Source organism: Homo sapiens, chromosome X (assembly GCF_000001405.40).
Source record: "Homo sapiens chromosome X, GRCh38.p14 Primary Assembly".
Taxonomy (NCBI): domain Eukaryota; kingdom Metazoa; phylum Chordata; class Mammalia; order Primates; family Hominidae; genus Homo; species Homo sapiens.
Window position 1 is genome coordinate 141,502,450 of NC_000023.11, and position 22,275 is coordinate 141,524,724.

A 22,275-nucleotide genomic window follows, 5' to 3' on the forward strand; every position below is an offset into this window, starting at 1 on the left:
CCACCTCCCTGGGTCAAGTGATTCTCCTGCCTCAGCCTCCCAAGTAGCTGGGAATACAGGTGCGCGCTACCACGCCTGGCTACTTTTGTAGTTTTAGTAGAGACGGGGTTTTACCATGTTGGTCAGGCTGGTCTCAGACTCCTGACCTCAGGTGATCCGCCCGCCTTGGCCTCCCAAAGTGCTGGGATTACAGGCGTGAGCCACCGTGCACGACCAGCTTGCTCTCATATTCCATTAGTATTATTTCACTTTCAGTAGGGCCGGTAGTGCTGTTATGGGCGTGTCTTTGCGTCCAGAGCTACCAAGATGGCGGCAAGCCTCTTGCTCTCTGACCTGGGGTTCTTGGCCTCACGGATTCCAAGGAAGGGAACCTTGGGCCACGCGGTGATCCGTACAGTTCTGTTAGAAGCCCGGGGTTATGGAAGAGAAGCGTGGAAACCAGCGACCAGCGTTCAGGTAGATTAGGACCAACCCCGGCACTTAGCTGCACAGGAACAATGGCGAGCCCCTTTGGGCGCCTCACTGATCAGAAGGGCAGAGGACACCCTGCTGGATCTGGAGGAGTGGAAGTCAATGGCGGGTCTGCGAGGGCGGCGTTCAGCGGTGGTGGACGGAGGGTGTTGAGCGGTGGTGGACGGTGGTGGACGACGGCCTTCGGCGGTGGTGGACGGACGGCCTTCGGCGTTGGTGGACGGACGGCCTTCGGCGGTGGTGGACGGACGGCCTTCGGCGGTGGTGGACGGACGGCCTTCGGCGTTGGTGGACGGACGGCTTTCGGCGGTGGTGAACGGTGAGCGAAAGCCGGAACAAACATGGACGAGAAGAGTGTGCAGTTGCAAGGTTTAATAGAGTGAAAACAGAGTTCCCATACAACCGGAGGGGACCCAAGGGGGTTGCCCACTCCTGGCTTGAATGCCTGGGGTTTATATCCCAATCATTGTCCCTCCCCCAGTGCTCTCAGGCGATAGATGATTTGGTATTTCTTTACCTCCTGTTTTTAGCCTAATTGGTACTTTAGTGAGCTCTCTTTACTACCTGATTGGTCGGGTGTGAGCTGAGTTACAAGCCCGGTGTTTAAAGGTGAGTGCAGTCACCTTCGTCAGCTAGGCTTAGGAACTCTTAGTCGGTCTAGGAAATCCAGCTAGTCCTGTCTCTTAGTGCTGTTCCTCTTTGTTTCGTGACATTGGGAATTTGTATGTTCTCTTATTTTGTTTTCAGTTTTATTGGGAGATTAACAAATTTATTAATCTCTTGAAAAAACTTCTTCCATCCTTTTACATCTAATTGAAAGAAAAGAGCCACACATTTTATGTGTGGGTTTTTATTATTTAGTTTAAAATATTTTGTAAATTCCAGTATGATGCTTTTTCTAATATGTGAGTAATATGAGAGCAATTTGCTAATTTCTAAAAATGTAAACTCATCTTTTAATTTCTGACTTCTACTTTCTTTGTGTGTGTGTGTGTGTGTGTGTATTGTGTGTGTGTGTAAATGAGGCCTAAGATGTAAATTCTTTAAATTTATTTAGATTTTTTTTTTTGAGACAGGGTCTTATTCGGTTGCCACAGCTGGAGTGCAGTGGTGTGATCACAGCTCACTGTAGCCTCCACCTCCAAGGCTCAAGCAATTCTCCTGCCTCAGCCTTGTGAGTAGCTGGGACTACAGGCACATGCCACCATGCCCAGCTAATCTTTAATTTTTGTTCTTTTTTTTGGCAGAGATGAGGTTTTGCCATGGTACCCAGGTTGGTCTCAACTCCTGAGCTCAAGCAATCCATCTTTCTTGGCCTCCCAAAGTGTTGGGATAACAGGCGTGAGCCATTGTGACCAAGCTGAAAATTTTTTATGAGGTGAAACAGTCACATTGGCAAATTTTTATAAGTAAAGAGTTGTTGGCACACAGCCACGCTCATTCGTGTGGGTATTATCTGTGGCTGCTTTTGTACTGTATTGGCAGAGTTGAATATTTGTAAAACAGAGACCTTATAACCCACAGAGCCTACTACATATCTGATTTTTTTTCTTTTTTTGCGACTGAGTTTCGCTCTGTCTCCCAGGCTGGAGTGCAGTGGCGCCATCTCGGCTCACTGCAACCTCCACCTCCCGGGTTCAAGCGATTCTCCTGCCTCAGCCTCTCGAGTAGCTGGGATTACAGGCATGTGCCACCACACCCGGCTAATTTTTTGTGTTTTTAGTAGAGTCCGGGGTTTCACCGTGTTAGCCAGGATGGTCTTGATCTCCTGATGTCGTGATCTGTCTGCCTTGGCCTTCCAAAGTGCTGGGATTACAGGCGTGAGCCACCGCGCCCAGCCACGTATCTGATTGTATACAGAAAAAATTCGCAGACCTCTGACCCAGAGCACAGTCAATTTTTGTAAATGTTCACTGTGTGCGTGAAAAAAAAAAGAACACTTTTCTTCTTATGTCTCTCTCTATTTTCTCCTTTTCGTCTCTTTTTCTACACACATGCACATACATGCATGAACACACACGTTAGATCAAGCATATTCATGGCATTGTTCAAATAATTTTTATAATTTGATATTTTAATTGTTGAGTTTTGAAAAGAAATTCATGTTAAAACTACCTTAGTGGTTTCTTTTTGTGTTTTCTTCAAGTTTTGTTTCATGTGTTTTTGGGTCATGCTGTTCAGTTTTCACAAATTCGAGCTAGGTGGGCTGGGTGGATTATCGTTTCTATCATGATGAAGTATACTTCGTCATATATTTAGTATTTTTTTCTTTGAATTCAACTTATTTTCATATTAATATTGATTGTCGATGTACCAACTTAATTATTTGCCTCATATATCTTTTTCTTTTTTTTTTTTTTTGAGACGAAGTCTCACTCTGTCGCCCAGGCTGGAGTGCAGTGGCACGATCTCTTGCCTCATATATCTTTTTATGTCGTTTTAATTATTTCAACCTTTCTGGTGTTTGTTGCTTTTTTTTTTTTAAAGTGAATTTCTTGTAAGTAGTAAATAGCTAGATTTTTAGATTCAAATATTACTATCTTTCTTGTTAAATAGGCAAATATAATCAACATTGATTTTCATTTTGTATATTTGGAATTATGTCATCTTATATTTTCTACTTACAATTCCTTCTGTACCATATGGGTTTGGACTTGATCCTCTGGGGTAAGAATATTAGGAATCTCCATTTGTATGCAAAATGTGTCCAGTCAATCCAAAGTCATGTAGATGGAGGTAAAAGTTTCTGGAATACTATTTTCCCCTCGGTTCTTCCAACTTACTTTGAAATGAATAACCAGTATAAGCACACTTTAGAAGCAACTTTAAAGCCTACTTGGTGTCCCCATTTACTAAATAACTCTGTATTTAATAAAACTTACTTTTGCTAATGGCAGGAAATGGGAGAATCAGACTCTCCCAGAGATCACAGGCTTCATTTCCCTTCACACTTTATAGCTGGATCAGCAGTTACTGCTGTATCTGAGTTGTCTAAGGCTAATAACGCTGGAGCTGAGAAAAAAATACCTCACTTACTGTTTTACAGCAGTCACTGTCTGATAATCACAGAATGATCTCTGTGTCAGTTATGTGTCTTCCAGGTAAGACCAAAGTGCCAGCTCAAATAATGGGGCAATGCAGTGTCTTAATACAGATATTTCTATAAAATGCTCGGAACACCGGTCTTAAAATTGCAACAGATTTTCTTTCATGCCAATTCCTAGTTAAACTAGGTACTCTATAACATGTATTTATTTAAAAGGTATAACTGAATTCCATTGATGTTAATAGCAAATGTAATATTTGAATGTCTCCATTAAGAAAAATACTGTTGAGCAAATGGCTCATGAAGATGTGTACCAAAATATTCATACTTTCTACAGAGGCTCCATCTTTTAGAGTTCAATTAAAGTTCCTCTACCCATGAAGCTCAGGTGCCAGAAAGGGTTTCAGCTGGAAATCTCTTCATAGAATTAAGGGATTGATAAGAAGAGAATATTTTTTCATTCCTTTTTTATCAGTAGTCCATGTTAACAATTAAAGTTGAACGAGGATTTTTCCTTAAGTTAATTTTTTTTTAAATGCAGAGGTTTAAAAACTTTAAAAGAAAGGAGCTTTCCCCTTAGAGTCCTCACACTAGTTGACTGTGAATTTTAAAAGAATACCTACCACAGGGTACAAGAAACTCACTGGTATGTATCTGAGGCCTGTGTTTTTCCAATCTAGAAGCTACAAGGATATTTGCTGGGAAAGTCCTTATAAGAAAAAGACTTAGCCAGGCACGGTGGCTCACGCTGTAATCCCGGCACTTTGGGAGGCTGAGGTGGGTGCATCACGAGGTCAGGGGATGGAGACCATCCTGGCCAACATGGTGAAACCCGTCTCTACTAAAAATACAAAAATTAGCTGGGCATGGTGGTGCGCGCCTGTAGTGCCAGCTACTCGGGAGGCTGAGGCAGGAGAATCGCTTGAACCCGGGAGGTGGAGGTTGCAGTGAGCCGAGATCACACCACCGCAGTCCAGCCTGGCGACAGAGTGAGACTCTGTCTCAAAAAAGAGAGAAAACTTAACCAAGTTATGTAATAACCACGATTACTTACGCCAGTTAACTCTATGCAGATCAAATTTGGCCTATTGGTGATGGCAATCTACTTCATAAATTTACTTCCAGGTCAGTGAGGGCCTATAGAAGTGTGATTCACATGGCTGAAATGAGAGAGGAATCTGAAGATTGTTTAAGAGAAAGACACCTTGGATAATACATACCCATCAACCAAGGGATACCTTACCTCACCTGAGATTCCCTGTTAAAAATTACTTACTTGATTTCATTCATTTATTTGTTTCAACAAATATTTATTGAGTGCCAGCTATGTGCCAAATACTGTTCTAGACACGGAGGATACAGCAGCAAAGAAAACAGATAGAAATCCTTACTCTCATAGAACTTACCTTTTAATAGAAGGATATAGGCAATAAATGAGAAACAGAAAAATTAAAAAAAAAAAAGCACGAGGAGAGATTGTGCAGCGGTTGGGCAGAGTTTAAGTTTAGATAGGGTGGCCAAGGAAACTTCACTAGGAAAACGACATTTGAGTAAAGGCCTGAAGGAAGTGAGGAAGTGAACTGTGCAGATATCTAAACGATAGCATTTTAGGCATACGGAAGGAACAGCGATTGCAACAACCGTGAAGCACAAGCAAGCCTGATGTTTTTAAGGAATAGCTAGGAGGCTAGTATGGCTGGATCATAATGAGTGAGCAGGAGAGTAGGATGAAATGAAATGAGAAATATATAGAGGAAGATCATGTAGAACCTTATAGACTATTGTAAGGACTGGAACTTCTACGGTGAGTGAGATGAAAATCCACTGGAGAGTTTGATGCAGGAGAGGCAAAATGGAAGGAGGGGGAGGGGAAAAGTTAGGATACTATTGGCAGTGTTCTAGATGAAAGCTGAGGTCTTTGGGATCAAAATGGCAGCAGTGGAGGTTGTGGAAATGTGGAGGTTGTGGAAATGTCAGATTTGTTGATGAACCACATGTGGGTTTTGTGAGGTGGTAGGGAGTAAATGGTGACTCTAATTGTGTGTGTGTGTGTGTGTGTGTGTGTGTGTGTATATGTCTATATATATATGTGTGTTGTATATACATACATATGTATGTGTGTGTATATATATATATGTGTATATATAGAGAGAGAGACGGAGTTTCGCTCTTGTTGCCCAAGCTGGAGTGCAGTGGTGCAATCTCGGCTCACTGCAACCTCTGCCTTCCGGGTTCAAGCGATTCTTCTGCCTCAGCCTCCCGAGTACCTGGGATTACAGGCGCACACCACCACGCCCGGCTAATTTTTTTGTATTTTTAATAGAAACGGGGATTCACCATGTTAGCCAGGCTGGTCTCGAACTCCTGACCTCAGGTAATCCACCTGCCTCGGCCTCCCAAAGTGCTGGGAATACAGGTGTGGCCTCCCCGGCCATGTGGAACTGTTAAGTTCAATGAAACCTCTTTTTCTTCCCAGTCTCGGGTATGTCTATCAGCAGTGTGAAAACGAGCTAATGCAACACATCATAGGTTTTTGTGAGAATTGAATTAATATATTTTTTAAAGTGCTTATGATAAAGTCTGGCAAATAAGAAGAACCTAGCTTAACTATAAGAAATTAGCACACGCTGGGCAGTTTATAAACAATAGACTTTTATTTCACATTTCTGGAAGCTGAAGGTCCAAGATCAAGGTGCTGGCATGGTCAGGTTCTGGTGAGGGCCCTCTTTCCTGTTGCAGACTGTCAACTTCTCACTGAATATGCAAATGGCAGAGAGCAGAGAGAGAAAAAGCAACTGTTTTGCATCTTTATGTAAAGGCATAAATCTCATTGATGAGTGTGTCTTCATGACCTAATTACATCTGAAAAGTCTCTTTTAATACCATCACATCAGGGGTTAGGATCTCAACATATTAATTTTGAGAGAACAGGAAGACTCAGTCATTAATGGCACCACACAAGCATCGGTTGTTACTATTGTTATTATTACTATTAGATATTTTAGTTGAGATGTTAACTAGGCCTTTTAAAAATTTGTACATATTTAGGGGGTACTAATGTGGTATTGTTATCTTACTATATTGTATAGTGGTGAGGTCTGGGCTTTTAATGTAACCATCACCCTAATAGTGTACATTGTACCCATTACGTAGTTTCTCATCTCCCTCAAAGCCTCCTACATTTCCAAGTTTCCAATATCTATTATTCCACCCTCCATATCTATGTGTACACATTATTTAGCTCCCACTTATAAGTGAGAACATGCAATATTTTATTTGTTTCTGAGTTATTTCACTTAAGATAATAAATTTTCAGTTTCATTCATGTTGCTGCAAGAGACATGATTTCATTTTCTTTTCTTTCTTTCTTTCAAGAGTTTCGCTCTTGTTGCCCAGGCTGCAGTGCAGTGGTGCGATCTCGGCTCACTGCAACCTCTGTCTCCCGTGTTCAAGCGATTTATCTTGCCTCAGCCTCCCGAGTAGCTGGGATTACAGGCACCTGCCACCACACCCAGCTAATGTTTTGTATTTTTAGTAGAGACGGGTTTCACTATGTTGGCCAGGCTGGTCTCGAACTCCTAACCTCAGGTGATTCACCTGCCTCAGCCTCCCCAAGTGCTGGGATTACAGGCGTGAGCCACCACACCTGGCCATCTCATTCTTTTTTATAGCTGAGTAGTGCTCCGTATACACACACACACACACACACACACACACACACACACACACACACACACACACACATATATACACACATAGATATATATACATATAACGCACATATATATCTCTCTCACATTTGCTTTATCCAATCATCCATTGATGGGCACTCGCTGATTCCATGACTTTGCTGTTGCAAATAGGGCTGCGATAAACATTCGAGTGCAGGAATCTTTTTGATATCACTGTTTCTTTTCCTTTGGGTAGGTACCAAGTAGTGGGATTGCTAGATTGAATGGTAGTTCTATTATTAGTTCTTTGAGAAATATCCATACTGTTTCCCAAAGAAGCTGTACAAATTTGCATTCTCGCCAACAGAGTACGTGTTCCATTTTCTATACATCCACACCAAGGTCTGTTGTTTTTTGACTTTTTAGTAATAGCCATTCAGACTGTTGTGAGATGGCAACTCATTGTTATTTTAATTTGCATTTCTCTGATGATTAGTGGTGGTGAGCCTTTTTTCATGTTTGTTGGCCATTTGTATGTCTTCTTCTGAAAAATATCTGTTCATGTCTATTGACCACTTTTTTTTTTTTTTTTTTTTTTTTAAGATGGAGTCTCCCTCTGTTGCCCAGGCTGGAAGGCTGGAGTGCAGTGGCACAATCTCGGCTCACTGCAACCTCCGCCTTCCGGGTTCAAGCGATTCTCCTGCTTTAGCTTCTCGAGTAGCTGGGATTATAGGAGTGTGCTACCATGCCCAGCTAATTTTTTGTATTTTTAGTAGAGACGGGGTTTCACCGTGTTAGCCAGGATGGTCTCGATCTCCTGACCTCATGATCACCTGCCTCGGCCTCCCAAAGTGCTGAGATTACAGGCGTGAGCCACCGCGCCCAGCCAAGAATATATAAGAATATTTATATATAAGAATATTGTTATATATAGAATATAAAGGTATACATATAAAGTTCAGAGAAGGGATCTAGTTTGGAAACATAATATTTTGGAGACAGCAGCATGTAGATGGTATTTTGGCCAGGATACAAAGAGACTATCAAATATATGAATGTAGAGAGACTCTTTAAGGGCCAGAAACGCTCTGCCATTTAGAAGCCTCGGAAATAACAAGGAACCTTGAAAGGGAACCAAGAAGCAGTGGAAAGAGTGTTGGGAAGAAATCCAAGTGTGTGGTATTCTGGAAGCTACATGAAGAAAGCCTATCAGAGAAGGGAATATGACCAACTTGTTGAAATGCCGTTGCTAACTTTAATAACGTGAGGCCTCAGAATAGAAAGAGTAGGTTTTAATTCATTTTATTTCAATTCAATTTATTTACTTGTGACTTTGACAAGAGCAGTTTTATTGGAATGGTGGGAGCTCAAGCTTTATTTGGGTTTAAAATGAATTAGAAACAGAATATAGACAATACTTTCTAAGACTTTTGTTTTTCAGAGAAGGACAGAAATGGGGGTGAAGCTGAACAAAGAAGTGGGATCAAGTCAAGTTTTTCTTAAGATGATAGAAATAATAGCATAGTTGTATCTGATGATATTGACCTAGAAGAGTGGGAAAAGAGCAATGCTAGATAGAGGGGAGAATTGCTGGAGTGATGCGATTAAGACATGTTTCTCGACATTACTGGAGAGAAGACATTGCTTTTGGCTGTCCCTGAAGACTTTAGCTATGTAACAGGAAAAATGGAGTACTGACATTGAACTTGGAAAGACAAATTACCAGTAACGTTGCAAACAAATCAGGGAAAGGGGTTATTTTGGAGCTTGCCTCTCTCCCCACTAGTGATGAGCCTTATAAACTACTAGTAATGTTTATGGTCTGAAGAGGGGATATGTTGACAAAGGCACATATCATCAATTCCTGCAAACTCAACAACCAAATTTCTTATGGATCTCTATGCTTTTTTCCATCTGCACCGACAGTGTCTTAGTCCAAGTTGCCATCGTTTCTCATCAGAATTCCTGTAAGACGCTCCTAAGTGGTGATTCTACTTTGATGGTTGCATCTTGGAATCTCTTCACCACATAACAGCAAAAGAAATTATTTTTAAAAAGAAGTCATATAATATCAACATTCTGTTCTGTATTAGTCTGTTTTGTGTTGCTAAAAAGGAATACCCGAGACTGGGTAATTGGTAAATAAAAGAGGTTTATTTGGCTCCCAATTCTGCAGACTGTACAAGCATCACAGCAGCACCCTCAGCTTCTGATGAGGCATCAGGAAACTTGTATTCATGGCAGAAGGTGAAGTGGAAATAGGCATGCCACGTGGTGAGAGAGGGAGCAAGAGAGAGAGAGGAGAAGGTTCTGGGCTCTTTTTAAGCAGCTAGCTCTCACGTGAATTGATAGAATGAGAACCATGGGTAGGGTACCAAGCCATTCATGAGGGATCCACTCTTATGACCCAAACACCTCCCACCAGGCCCCATCTCCAACACTGGGGGTCACATTTCAATGTGAAATTTGGAGGGGACAAACATCCAAACTATATCGTACTCCCACCAGTGTCTTTGTGAAAGAAGGCTTTATCCAAAACTTGGAAAAATCACAAAATAGGAATGACCTGATATGTTAATATCATGTTATAATATGTCCTAAGAAGCCTGATTGATTCTCATCTGACATTCCTCTGACACACATTCTCATCTGATGGCAGCCTTGTCAAAATTTGGCTAATAAGCATCCACAGCTATTAACAGTGAAGTCAGTTTGGAACCCTGTGAAGTTAGAGGTTAACCAAGAAATTGATAAGGTGTTAGAATTGTGTAGTCTGCTGGGAAAGTTAATACCCAAACTGCTATGGTTTTCTTTTCCTGTAGAAAAGCATACAACCATATATCTAACTTAGAAGTCTTACATAGGCATTTTTTTTTCGCCTTGACTATATAAATTCTTGCTTGTCAAATACTCTTGGAACTCTCTTTTCTTTCTTCCCTATTGGTTCCCTTATTAATAAATTAAAATGTTCACATCTATTTATATTAAAACATTGTCACATTACCCATACTATTTTAAATGAACTTCAAAGTTCTTTTTATTGCCGCAAGGCCCTGTGTGATCACACAACTGCTTAACGCTCTGGGCTCATCCCCCACCAGTCTTCTAAGCTGTGCTGGCTTTCTTGCTGTCCTAAAACACAGCAGGTCATGTTTCATCTTAAAGCCCTTTCAGCTTGCTCTACCAACTGCTTGGAAATCTTTCCTCCCAGATTTCAGTTTGGATCCATCCCTCCCATCTGTCAGATCTCTGCTCAAATGTAAGCTCTTCATAGATGCTTCCCTGACCACCCCATCCAAAATGTCAAAAACACATCCACTTTATAAACCCCTTAACCTGCGTCGCTTTTTCAAACGTTTCACTGTCTACCCACCATCGATTCTACCATTAACATTTTTTTTTTTTTGAGATGGAGTTTCGCTCCTGTTGCCCAGGCTGGAGGGCAGTGGTGCGATATCGGCTCACTGCAACCTGCGGCTCCCGGGTTCAAGTGATTCTCCTGCCTCAGCCTCCGGAGTAGCTGGGATCACAGGCATGCGCCACCATGCCCGGCTAATTTTGTATTTTAAGTAGAGATGGGGTTTCTCCATGTCGTTCAGGCTGGTCTCGACTTCCTGACCTCAGGTGTTCCACCCGCCTCGGCCTCCCAAAGTGCTGGGATTACAAGCGTCAGCCATTGCACCTGGTCTACTATGAACATTTTTAACATTGCGTAACATTTTATAAATACACCTGGGGTTGTGCTCATTGTTTTCATGTTTCCACAACTGCAAGTTAAAACCCAGCAGCGTTGTGGCTTTGCCTGTTTTGAGCACTGCTCTATCCTCAGTGTTTGTAACAACTCTTGGGATGCAGCAGATGTGGTAGATTAAATTGTCATAATTATTCAGTCACTTGTAGTACTGGTATTATACATACATTTCCCTGCCATGGCCTTATGATAGTTGGATGATGTAATGGTTAATTTTATATGTCAAGTTGATTGGGTCACCTGGTACCGAGATCTCAAATTAAACATTACTTCTGGGTATGTCTTTGAAAGTGTTTCTAGAGGAGATTATCATGATCTGAGAAGAGAGTTGAAATGTACCTTTGAAGTACCTTTAATGCTGGGCTTGTCTCGTCTACTGCCATTGCTGTGAGAAAAAAAAAAAGATGCCCTGTCTAGTTGCGACTGCTTCAACCTATATACCGGAATGAGACACATAGTGAAGCACACCTATATTCAGTTTTCAGCCTGAATTTATTCTGCCCTCATTGACTTTGAAGACCCATGGATGAGAAAAATGAGTATTTTTGTCTACCTCTGAGATATTATACTTATGTGTTATGTAGCCTTACTGTACCAATAGCTACTTTAGGCTCTAAGTGTTCAATAGGTTATCATTAAATGAATGAAATGAATTGTAAATATTTGGCACATGTTGCTTCGTACGATTAAAAAGCATTTTGTTAAACTACTAGGCATTTTACACTGGGAATCATCATGTTCCTATGTAGAATGTATTAGTAGAGGAAATTTTGGATGTTGGAGTATGGTAGCTCTTCTTCCTGTCTTCATAAATGTCGTCTAATAGCTAAACAGAAGCTGAATGTAGCACTTTGAAAGCTCTAGCAAGGAACGTGATATTGTCAGATTCCAAGCCCATGGTTTGACAAGATCTCTGGCTGGAGTTCCTCGCCAGTAGAATGGATTAAAAGTAAATAGGCTGTTAATTTATGTGTGCTTTACTGCCCAAGAAACAAAAATCCTAGCCAACAACCTTGATCCCTTTGTCTGTATGCTTATACCAATACAAAGCAGACTACTAAAGCAGTGAAGCCTCTTATGAGGAATAATCTGGAAAATGATTATCCTGCCTCTGACTTTGGGGAAATACTGATGAGGGATACTTTCCCAGAACAGAACCAGGGGAAGCCAGCTTGGGTGATCAGGAAACTCAATTCACTTCTAGGACAGAACATCCTCTGTGTTGCTGTCTAACAGATTATATTGTATTGTAAAGCATTATCACTTTATTTTCCCTCCTGTCGTTTTCCAAAAATAATAACTTTTTTTTTTTTATTGAGACAGAGTCTCACTCTTGTCACCAGGCTGGAGTGCATTGGCGCGATCTTGGCTCACTGCATCCTCTGCCTCCCGGGTTCAAGCGATTCTCCTGCCTCAGCCTCCCGAGTAGCTGGAACTACAGGTGGGTGCCGTCATGCACAGCTAATTTTTGTGTTTCTAGTAGAGACGGGGTTTCACCATGTTGGCCAGGATGGTCTAAAATAATCACTTTTATTAATGTTGCCTTGTTTTTCCTGCATCATGGGTACATGAATGTGTTTGGGGTTAGTATAATACTATTTAGTCTTGGATCACTGATGCATCACTTAGAGATTATGGACTTGAGTTGAGTGCATTACCCAGAAGAAACTTTAGGGAGCCTCTCTTTAGGGACACTTGAAGGAATTTCATGTAGGTGTGGACACTTTTAAAGATGTATGTATTAGAAGGACGCAGAACATGGTTGTTGTTTGCCTACAGATTATCCATTTCCCCCTTCTTTCTTCTTAAGAGAACCGTAATTTTCTTAAGGCATTTGCCTTCCTTCATGAAGCTCATGTAATTGAAAAAAAGGTGCCCTTATCTTCAGCTTCAGAATAAATGATAAACTAATCAATCATAATAATGCCTTTCCTCTTGCCAGCAATTATTTCAGGAAGCCAAGCTTAAGCTAATCAGTATGTGGCAATGTCTAGGGATGAAGATGTGATGTAATTTGGCTCAGCGAGAAAGAAGGTATAAATAGGGTGATAGAATTTCTCTGGTAGAAAATGAACAAAGACGTGCATAGCTTTGATGGCTCTTGCAGGTATCATATAACCATGAGGGGTACTAGCATTATTAATACGAAGCTGAAAATGTGGACAGGAGGGCTAAGAAATTACATGAACTAATTACATCATTAAAGAGTTGATCCAGTCCACCCAGAAGCCTTCACTTCACTCGAAATACCTTTTGTGTGTGATAACATACGCCTCATTGCTTGAGTTGTGGATTTTGGTTACTTGCAGCTGTAAGCATTCTGACTGATACAAGTCATTCTTGGTGTGTGATTTTGAATTGGTGACTTAAATTCTCCAAGGTTCAATTTTCTCAACTTTTTTTTCTGAAAATACTATATCAATCACTTTTGTCTTCATAGTATCTAAATAACATTGGGGGTAATCCAGAGAGAAATGTGAGTCAGGGCCTTACCTTTTACTTGGAAACTGAATGAGGGGCAGATATTCTTAACTTCAAGTTGTTGGCATAGACCCAGGGGACGAGCATAGCCATGTGGACGCTTCTGCCAGGAGCTCTGACACTTTAGGAGGTATACTAAGATGTAGAGAAAGTCAACACTTATTTGCAGTGTTTGTGGCAGAGGCTAGAGTCCAGTAGTGTGACAGTATTGAGAAGTGACAGTGCTTCCAGTGGGACCCTAAGAAAACTGCTTCTCTGGGGTGATTCTGGGTGAGCTCTTCCTCCCTTGACTATTGCCATATATTCTTCACCTGACTCTCTGCTCTTCTCATGGACTCTAAGAACAATGTGTTATCTCTCTAACGAATTGTTTTTCTGCTTATATTACCAGACTCGGTGTCTGTTGTTCGCAAATGAAAGCACCAACTAGAATAGTTATTTGCCTAATAAGGTTGATTTGAGGACTAGATGAGATAACATTTAAGTAGATGCTGAATAAAATTAAATTTAAGATTCACAAGGTTTTGCTTGAGTAACAAATGTATCCTACATTTTGGATACATGTAATTATAAATATCTACTTTTCACTCATGCTACAAGTCTACTGTGGATTGGCTATTTCTCGGTGCTATGTCATTTTTTTGAGACGAAGTCTCGTTCTGTCGCCCAGGCTGGAGTGCAGTAGTGCGATCTAGGGTCACTACAACCTCTGCCTCCCAAGTAGCTGAGGTTAAAGTAGCTGTAGTTAAAGTGATTCTCCTGCCTCAGCCTCCCAAGTAGCTGGGATTACAGACGCCCACCACCATGCCTGGCTAATTTCTGTATTTTTAATACAGACAGGGTTTCACCAAGTTGGTCAGGCTGGTTTTGAACTCCTGACCTCAGGTGATCCGCCCGCCTCAGCCACCCAAAGTGCTGGGATTACAGGCGTGAACCACCGCGCCCAGCTGCTATGCTATGTCATCTTTACTTCAGAAAACAAGCTGAGGGAGTATCTTCTTTCTGGAATACTGTCAGTCTTCATGGCAGAGAGAAAGGAGACAAAGTGAACCACTCTCTTAAACCTTCTGCCCGGAAAAGACACATATCACTTCCACATTTCACTAGCCCAAGTGAGTCCCGTGGGCTCTCCTGATTTCATTTGGAGTGGGATGTATCCTTCTACAGGGAAGAAGACTAAAGGAGCAACACTGGAACATTTAGTGAATAGTTACAGAGGCTACCGCAGTATATTTACCTGTTCCTGACGTCTTTACATAGGGACTTGGCCAGTTATAAATTCCTTGGCGGAGTCATGTTAGTTCCTATCAGGTGCTCTACGTGGAGCAGTACTTAGATTTTAGCTTCATTTTTTGGCCTCTAAGGATTTTCCTCATTTTTTGGATGGATGATACATTTGAAAAGTTTTAAAAATAGGTTATACATGGTTTTTAGTTGCTTTGCAGTGAAGGGAAGTTTAGTTTGTCTTGATGCCATTAACAGAATTTGACATTTACAACGCACAAACACATACAAATACATACCACCTGATATGTTGCTGGAGGTTGGGATCTCAAAAACAGACATTGAGGTTGAGTGTATGGGGTGTCAAATATTTATTAAGGATCAACAGCTGTGAGAGGGAGGAGGCTGAAGCAGGATTGGGCAGAGAAAGAGGTGGAACTTCTATGCAGGCGCAACAAAGCCTCATTCAGCCTTACTGGCAGCTCTTGAGAAAGCGTTGTGCATCAGTGATACCGGGCATTGGCCTGGAATGGTGTAGGCTTTATGGCTATAAAGCCACCTGTTCAGATGCCAGATGTAGGCTTCTGTGGGTGTTACCTTGAGCCAGGTGACTCTGCGGCTGAGGCAGACCCTGCAGGAGTTGACAGCTAGAGGCTGTGTGCTGAACCACACTTCCTGCAGATGGGCAGCAAGTCCTTCCTTGAAGTGGGAGCTGGGCAGTATATTTTGTGTCTGCCACACTCCTAGCATTTGATAAATATTATATTTGATTTTACCCAGATTATTTGAAACAAGTAGGGTTTGGATGAAGCTTTGATTTTTGGTTTAAAGAGATTTTCCCTGTAACGGTGGCTATCGCAACAGCATCTGGCCTACTGAAGGCTGAATCTAATCTATCTAGCCAGTGATAATGGCTTAGCATTACACGGTTTCTTTGTCGCTGGCCAGGTCATGAGGAATTACACACAAAGAACGAGGCGCAAGACTTATCAACCCGTAAAATTACGTAGCAGAGCAAGATATCTAACTGTAGTCTGATGTGATTTCATAGAGTCCGTGAAACAGCATCAAGGACTTGGCTTCAAAGGGTTATTTTATAGTACTCTGTGGTACTTGACTTTTACCAATAGCTAAAGTCCATGACCGTATGTGTTCCAATATTTGCCAGAGACATGTTGGTGCCTTTAAAGCTGTATCAGTAAATGATTACACTAGAAAAATTTACATTCCTAATAAAATTAATGTTTGGCAATCAAGAAATGTTTTACTTAACTATTAGAAATCATCTAATAATGCAGTAACTATCATTATAGTAACATTTAACTCTTGTAATAAATGCATTACAGTCAGTTACACAATTAAAGAAATAATGTGGTAGTATGAATCCTAAGATAAAGAAATAGAGAACTATATTACCCAAATTAGATTATGTGTGAAACAATGGTGGATTAAAGAGTTCATTTATGGGAATGAGCTAAAAGAAAAATCACATGCAAAAGGGATAAAAATATACATTTTAGCTTTCATGGTAAAAAAAAAAAAACTAAAGTAGATGATCATTTATTAGTTCATGGAATAGTCATAGGGGTGCTGTAACTCGTGTTGAATTCACTAAATGATAATGTGACTGAGATGCAGTGTTAGAAATTCTGATTTAATTTTTAAAATAATTATTTGAGCATTAATTAACTTGGAAGCATTCATCTTTTGTTCTCCAAAACATTTTAAATGAAAAAAATGTTAATTGTGTTGCTGTGACAGTGATAGTATAGGATTAACCATTATAGTATTCACCTAGATACAACGAGGAATTTTAATGCTATTTAAATGAACTGGCCGTATTTTTGTGGATTTCAGTTTTAGATTTGCTTTGCAGAAATAATAAATAAACCTAGTGTATTTTGATAGCATTATGGAAAGCGGTAAGTAGTTGCAGCCTTTAGATACTTCTGAAAACCAGTAGAATGCATTCCTTTACTTGCAAGTGAGACCTTTGTATAAATTAACCTATAAAACCAAAATGTGAAATGATGATGTGCATGAGTACATCTGGATGTGTAGGAGGACCTTTAATTGCATGGTGACTGAGAAACCCTTTCACATATTGGAGAGATTACAAATGGCAGGAGATTATAGGAATTCTTTAAAGGAATTCAGTTTCTGTGGAGCAGGAGGCATTCCTATGGGTAAGCCTGGGTGTGCTTTATCATTGCCGGGACGTTTCAGTGTGGTCATTGGGTCAGATTGGCAAAGAAGGTTTCTTTATGGGGACAAATTTGTTCTTAAGTTAGATCTGTGAATCTCTGTATAAAACCTGGATGGCTTTATATCAACACAGATTCCTTCATAGAGCTGCTGTGTCTGTAGGGTGACAATTGCCCCATTTAAGCAATCATCAGAGATCATTTATTCCAACTGTCTCACGTCATACATGAAGAAAATAGAACCTGCTCAGTGAATAAACTTTGAAATAGCGGTGTATTTTAGAAGACTGCTCTGTAGAAACATAAATAAATAGATAATGTATGTATAAAGATATAAATGCATAGTTGTATTCAGATGCAGGATTTGGAGATAAATCTGACTTGTCCAACTCACAGTGAGATGTTTAGCAGATCCAGGTCACTGTTTTTTCCCATTGTAGGAACTATGTTGTATTTCCCAGGAAAACAATGTAATCATGGAAATAATATTTTCTTTATTTAAATTCAGAGATTTAATCCTAAGGATTTTAAATGAGCTGTCCTAAATTATTGTTAATTATTTGTATGTTTAAAATTAGGGTTTTAATTTTATGTATGTAAACATTTATATGAATTACATTCCTAGATATAAATTCAATGTATCTTAGTTTTAGAGTCCAAAATTAGAAGTTATCTATTACGCTAGCATTAGAAACAGAAATTGAATCCGTTCTTCCCCTCGCCCACGGGCTTTATGATTCCCATCAAACTCAGTGGGAATTTTCCAGCGTATTGTTGAAAAAAGTGGGCTAATTAAGAACTACCATATGAACTATTACACATTAATTTTATGGCATTCATTGTTGTTTAATTTGTGAAATAACATCAATTTTTCTGATTACCAAAGTAATACATATTAATTGCTCTCAATGTAGCAAATACATAAGACTAAAAAGAAGTGAACTAATTATAATCTCAGTTCTGGAGAACTGTGAACAAGCTGGTATACATTTTCTAGTTATTTTTTCTATGTATGTGTCCAAAGGATAGCTGTAATTTAATGGTGTCTCATTCTGTAATGCTATTTAGTGATTGCTTTTTGGATATATCATAATAAACTTTTGCTATAAGAATTCAAGATTTGTCTAACATTACTCTTAATGGATTTATCATTTTTGGTGTAATTATGCCTTAGGTGCTGGACAAAGATCAGACCAGATGTGAGGAATGCTGAAAATGAAAGGTATGGATACCTATGACTTCTCCTCCTAAGTTTTGTCAAGCTAAAAAAGGTAAGAGAACAGATACGCACAGGACATATCTGAGGTAGGGTAGCTTCTGAATGTCCCTTTTCTGTCCATTGGCAGGAATTTGTTAGATCCGTGGTGTCCTGAGCAAAAGAGTTTGTAGGCTTTTATTTTGACCTCTGCTTAAAGGGTCACATAAGTGCTCCAAAGCATCATATACTAGCCCAAAAGTGAATACTTTTGCGACTCAAGAAGTACCGTTCATTACTAAGGCTTAGCGTTACAATTCCGGGTCCTAAAATAGTTGTTCTTTCACATTTATTCGCAAGCATAGCATTTTCATTCATCTGGGTCTGTGCATCAGGTTATACAATGGCCCTTTGTCTGTGCCTATATGGGAACTAGCAATTTTTTATTCATGTCCAAGAAAGGGCATTCCTGGCTGTTAGAACTGCATGTGAGTGCACCAGTGATTTATCTAATCACTGCTCTGTTGTGTGACCGTGGGTTACTACCAATCTATTTCTAATATAAACAATGTTGCAATGAACGTTATGTGAAAATATATTTATGTGCAAGTCTGATTAGTTCCCTAAGGTAAGTGCCTGAAAGAGAAGTTGCTGGTTTAAAGGATTTGTGTAATTTTAAGGCATTTGATACATACTGTGAAACAGCCTAGTATAGTTAATGAGAATATTCCTTGTGTGCTTGAAAATGAGACCGGGCACGGTGGCTCAAGCCTGTAATCCCAGAGCTTTGAGAGGCTGAGATGGGTGGATGACCTGAGGTCAGGAGTTCAAGACCATCCAGCCTGATCAACATGGTGAAAACCCCATGTCTACTAAAAATAGAAAAATTAGCCGGCCGTGGTGGCGCGTGTCTGTAATTCCAGCTACTTGGGAGGCTGAGGCAGGAGAATCGGTTCAACCTGGGAGGCGGAGGTTTCAGTGAGCCGAGATCTCACCATTGCATTTCAGCCTGGGCAACAGGAGCGAAACTCCGTCTTAAAAATAAAAAAATAAAATGAAGTATGTATTTCGTTTGCCGAATATAAATTTTAAATGTAAACAAATCTACAGTTGATTACACTCGTTTAAGTTTTATCTGCTTGAACTACCAGTGTCTGAGAGGGTTGCATTAAAATCTCCCAAGTACATTTATCAGCTTAATTATTTGGCTGCATAGTTCAGCCACATGCTTTATTTGAAAGCTATATTATTGAGTGCATACATGCTCATAGTCATTGTGTATTTCCCTCGATCCCTCTTGACCATTTACTGGTACATAATGACCTTTTCTTGAAATGAAAAGTTTTTACGTCTGCTTTTTTTTTCTGGTTCACATTTGCTCAGTTTACATTTTCCTGTATTTTTATTTTTGAATCACTGTATCTTTTTGCTCTAAATGCAGTTGCTCTAGATAATATCTTGGCATATATGTGTTTCTTAAAATAATCCAATCATTGAATCTCTTTTTATGATTCTAAAACAGATGTTGTAAGCTTCCTCTGTACAAGGCCAGATAGTGAAATATTTTCAGCATTGTGGGCCATATGGTATGTTTTCCAACTACTCAACTCTGCCATTATAGGATAAAAACATTTATAGACAATATGTAAACAGGTGGGGTCCCTATGACATTTTATATTCTGTTGGGCCCTCAGGTCACAGTTTGTGGAAACTGGTTCTAGAGTTTAATCTATTTACATTTATTATAGTTAGTGTCATATTGGGACTTACATCTGTCATCATAGTCTATGTTTTCTATTTATCCTTCTATTTTCGTTTATTTTTTTCCTTCTTTCCCATCTTTCACCTGGTTTGGAATTTGGATTTTGCTCCTATTGTTATCCTCCCTTCAACTTTCCTGCGATAATATTTTTAGTTCCAGGTTGTGATTAGATTTCTTTTGTAGTGTATCTTTTCTCTTTCATGTATACTACACATTCACAGTCACAATGGCATATTGCATTTAGATTTACTTATCTATATTTCAGTATTTATTGTCACCTCTGTTTCTTTCCTTTCATCATTGTTTCCTCTCTTAAGGCTTTGGCAGAGTTTATTAGATGTTTGATCGGTGTCCATTAGTCTTTTCTTGAAAATATTACTCAAAGAGATCTATGGGCACTATGTATATCTTGCCTGGATTTGGGGGTCACACTTTGTTTTTTTCACAGTGGTTTGCCCCTTAGCCTCCAACTTCTAGTTTTTGGTATTACAGATGACAAGTCCAGTATTAATTTAATTTTTTAAAAAGTTACTTCCCTCTCCAGATGCTATACTCATTTTCTATTTTTTTTTAAGATCAGTATATACCTAGCTGTATATTCCTTAATGAGTCCCTTCTGGAAACCCCCATGTTATTTTCAATAGGTACACTCTGTTCAATTATTTCCTTAATGATTACTTCTTCATCTGTTGATTTTTCTCTTTCTGGAACCCCTATTAATTTCAGGGTCTATGCTCAAAGTTCCTCAGCTTTTCTAGCCAGATTTACATATCTTACTTTAGTTTTATTTTATTTTTAATGGACATATAATTGTACATATTTGTGAAGTACAATGTAATGTTTCAATACATGTATACATTGTTTAGAAATCAAATCGGGGGCCGAGCCCGGTGGCTCACTCCTGTAATCCCAGCATTTTGGGAGGCCAAGGCAGGCAGATCAGGAGGTCAAGAGATTGAGACCATCCTGGCCAACATGGTGAAACCCCGTCTCTACTGAAAATACAAAAATCAGCTGGGCGTGGTGGCACGCGCCTGTAGTCCCAGTTACTCGAGAGGCTGAGGCAGGAGAATCACTTGAACCCGGGACGCAGAGGTTACAGTCAGCCAAGATTGCACCACTGCACTCCAGCCTGGTGACAGAGCGAGAGACTGTCTCAAAAAAAAAAAGAAAAGACAAAAGGAAATAAAAGAAGTAAAATCAGGGTAATTAGCATATCCGTAATCTTAACCATTTTTTTTGTGATAAGAATATTCAAAATCCTCTTTTCTAGCTATTTTGAAATATACAACACGTTATTGCTAACTGTATTCACCATGGTGCACTATAAAGTACCAGAACGTTTTTCTCCTGGCTAACTGTGACATACTCATTGACCAACCTCACCCTATCTCTCCTCCCCAGTACCCTCCTCAGCAACTGGTAACTGCTCTCTACTTTTATGAGATCAGCGTTTTTAAGATTCCACATATAAGTGAGGTTATGCAGTATTTGTCCATCTGTGTCTGGCTTATTTCACTTAAAATAATGTCCTCTAGGTTCATCCGTGTTGTTGCAAAAGACAGGTTTTTGTTATTTGTTATGGTTGAATAGTATTCCATTGTGTACATGCACCACATTTTCTTTATGCATTCATTCACTGATGAACACTTAGGTTGATTCTATATCTTGGCTACTGTAAATGGTACTGCAATAAACATGAGAATGCAGGTATGTCTTGGACATAATGATTCTATCTCCTTTGGATATATACCCAGTACTGGGATTGCTGGATCATACAGTAGTTCCATTTGTAACATTTTGGAGAACCTTTATACTATTGGCCGTAATGGCTGTACTAATTTACACGCTCATCAGCAGCATATAAAAGGTCGCCTTTCACCACATAGACACCAACATTTGTGGGGTTTTTTGGTCTTTTTCATAATAGCCATTCTAAAAGGTGTGAGATGATCTTATTGTGATTCTGATTTGCATTTCCCTAATAATTAGTGTAACGTTCAGCATTTTTTCATATACCTGTTGGTCATTTGTATGTTTTCTTGTGAGAAATGTCTATTCAGATATTTTGCCCATTTTTAAATCAAAGTATTTATTTTTTTGTTACTGAATTCTTTGAATTCCTTATAAATTCCAGATATACATTATATCCCTTATCAGAACATTGTTTGCAAGTATTTCTCCCATTCTGTAGGTTGTAGCTTTGCTCTGTTGATTGTTTCTTTTCCTGTGCAGAAGCTTTTGAGTTTGACTTAATCCCGTTAGTCTGTTTTTGCCGTTGTTGCCTGTGCTTTTGAGTTCTTATCCAAAAAATCCTTGCCTAGACCAATGTCCTGAAGCGTTTTCACTGTTTTCTTCTAGTAGTTCCACAGTTTCAGGTCTTGCATTTAAGCCTTTAATCCATTTTGAGTTGATCTTTGTATATGATGAGATGTAGGGACCTAGTCTTATTTTTTTGCATGTGGAGGTG

General features: G+C 39.7%; 1 long non-coding RNA gene across 1 annotated transcript in view; it reads left to right on the forward strand.

The window, feature by feature from the left end:
- Positions 1-399: 399 nt before the first annotated feature.
- The window catches only part of SPANXA2-OT1 (SPANXA2 overlapping transcript 1), a 147,091-nt gene continuing 125,215 nt past the window's right edge, over positions 400-22,275 (forward strand). Inside the window, exons 1-3 of the long non-coding RNA NR_037183.2 lie at positions 400-790; positions 12,263-12,380; positions 18,023-18,070. This is a non-coding gene — a long non-coding RNA (SPANXA2 overlapping transcript 1). The remainder of the gene's footprint in view (positions 791-12,262; positions 12,381-18,022; positions 18,071-22,275) is intronic.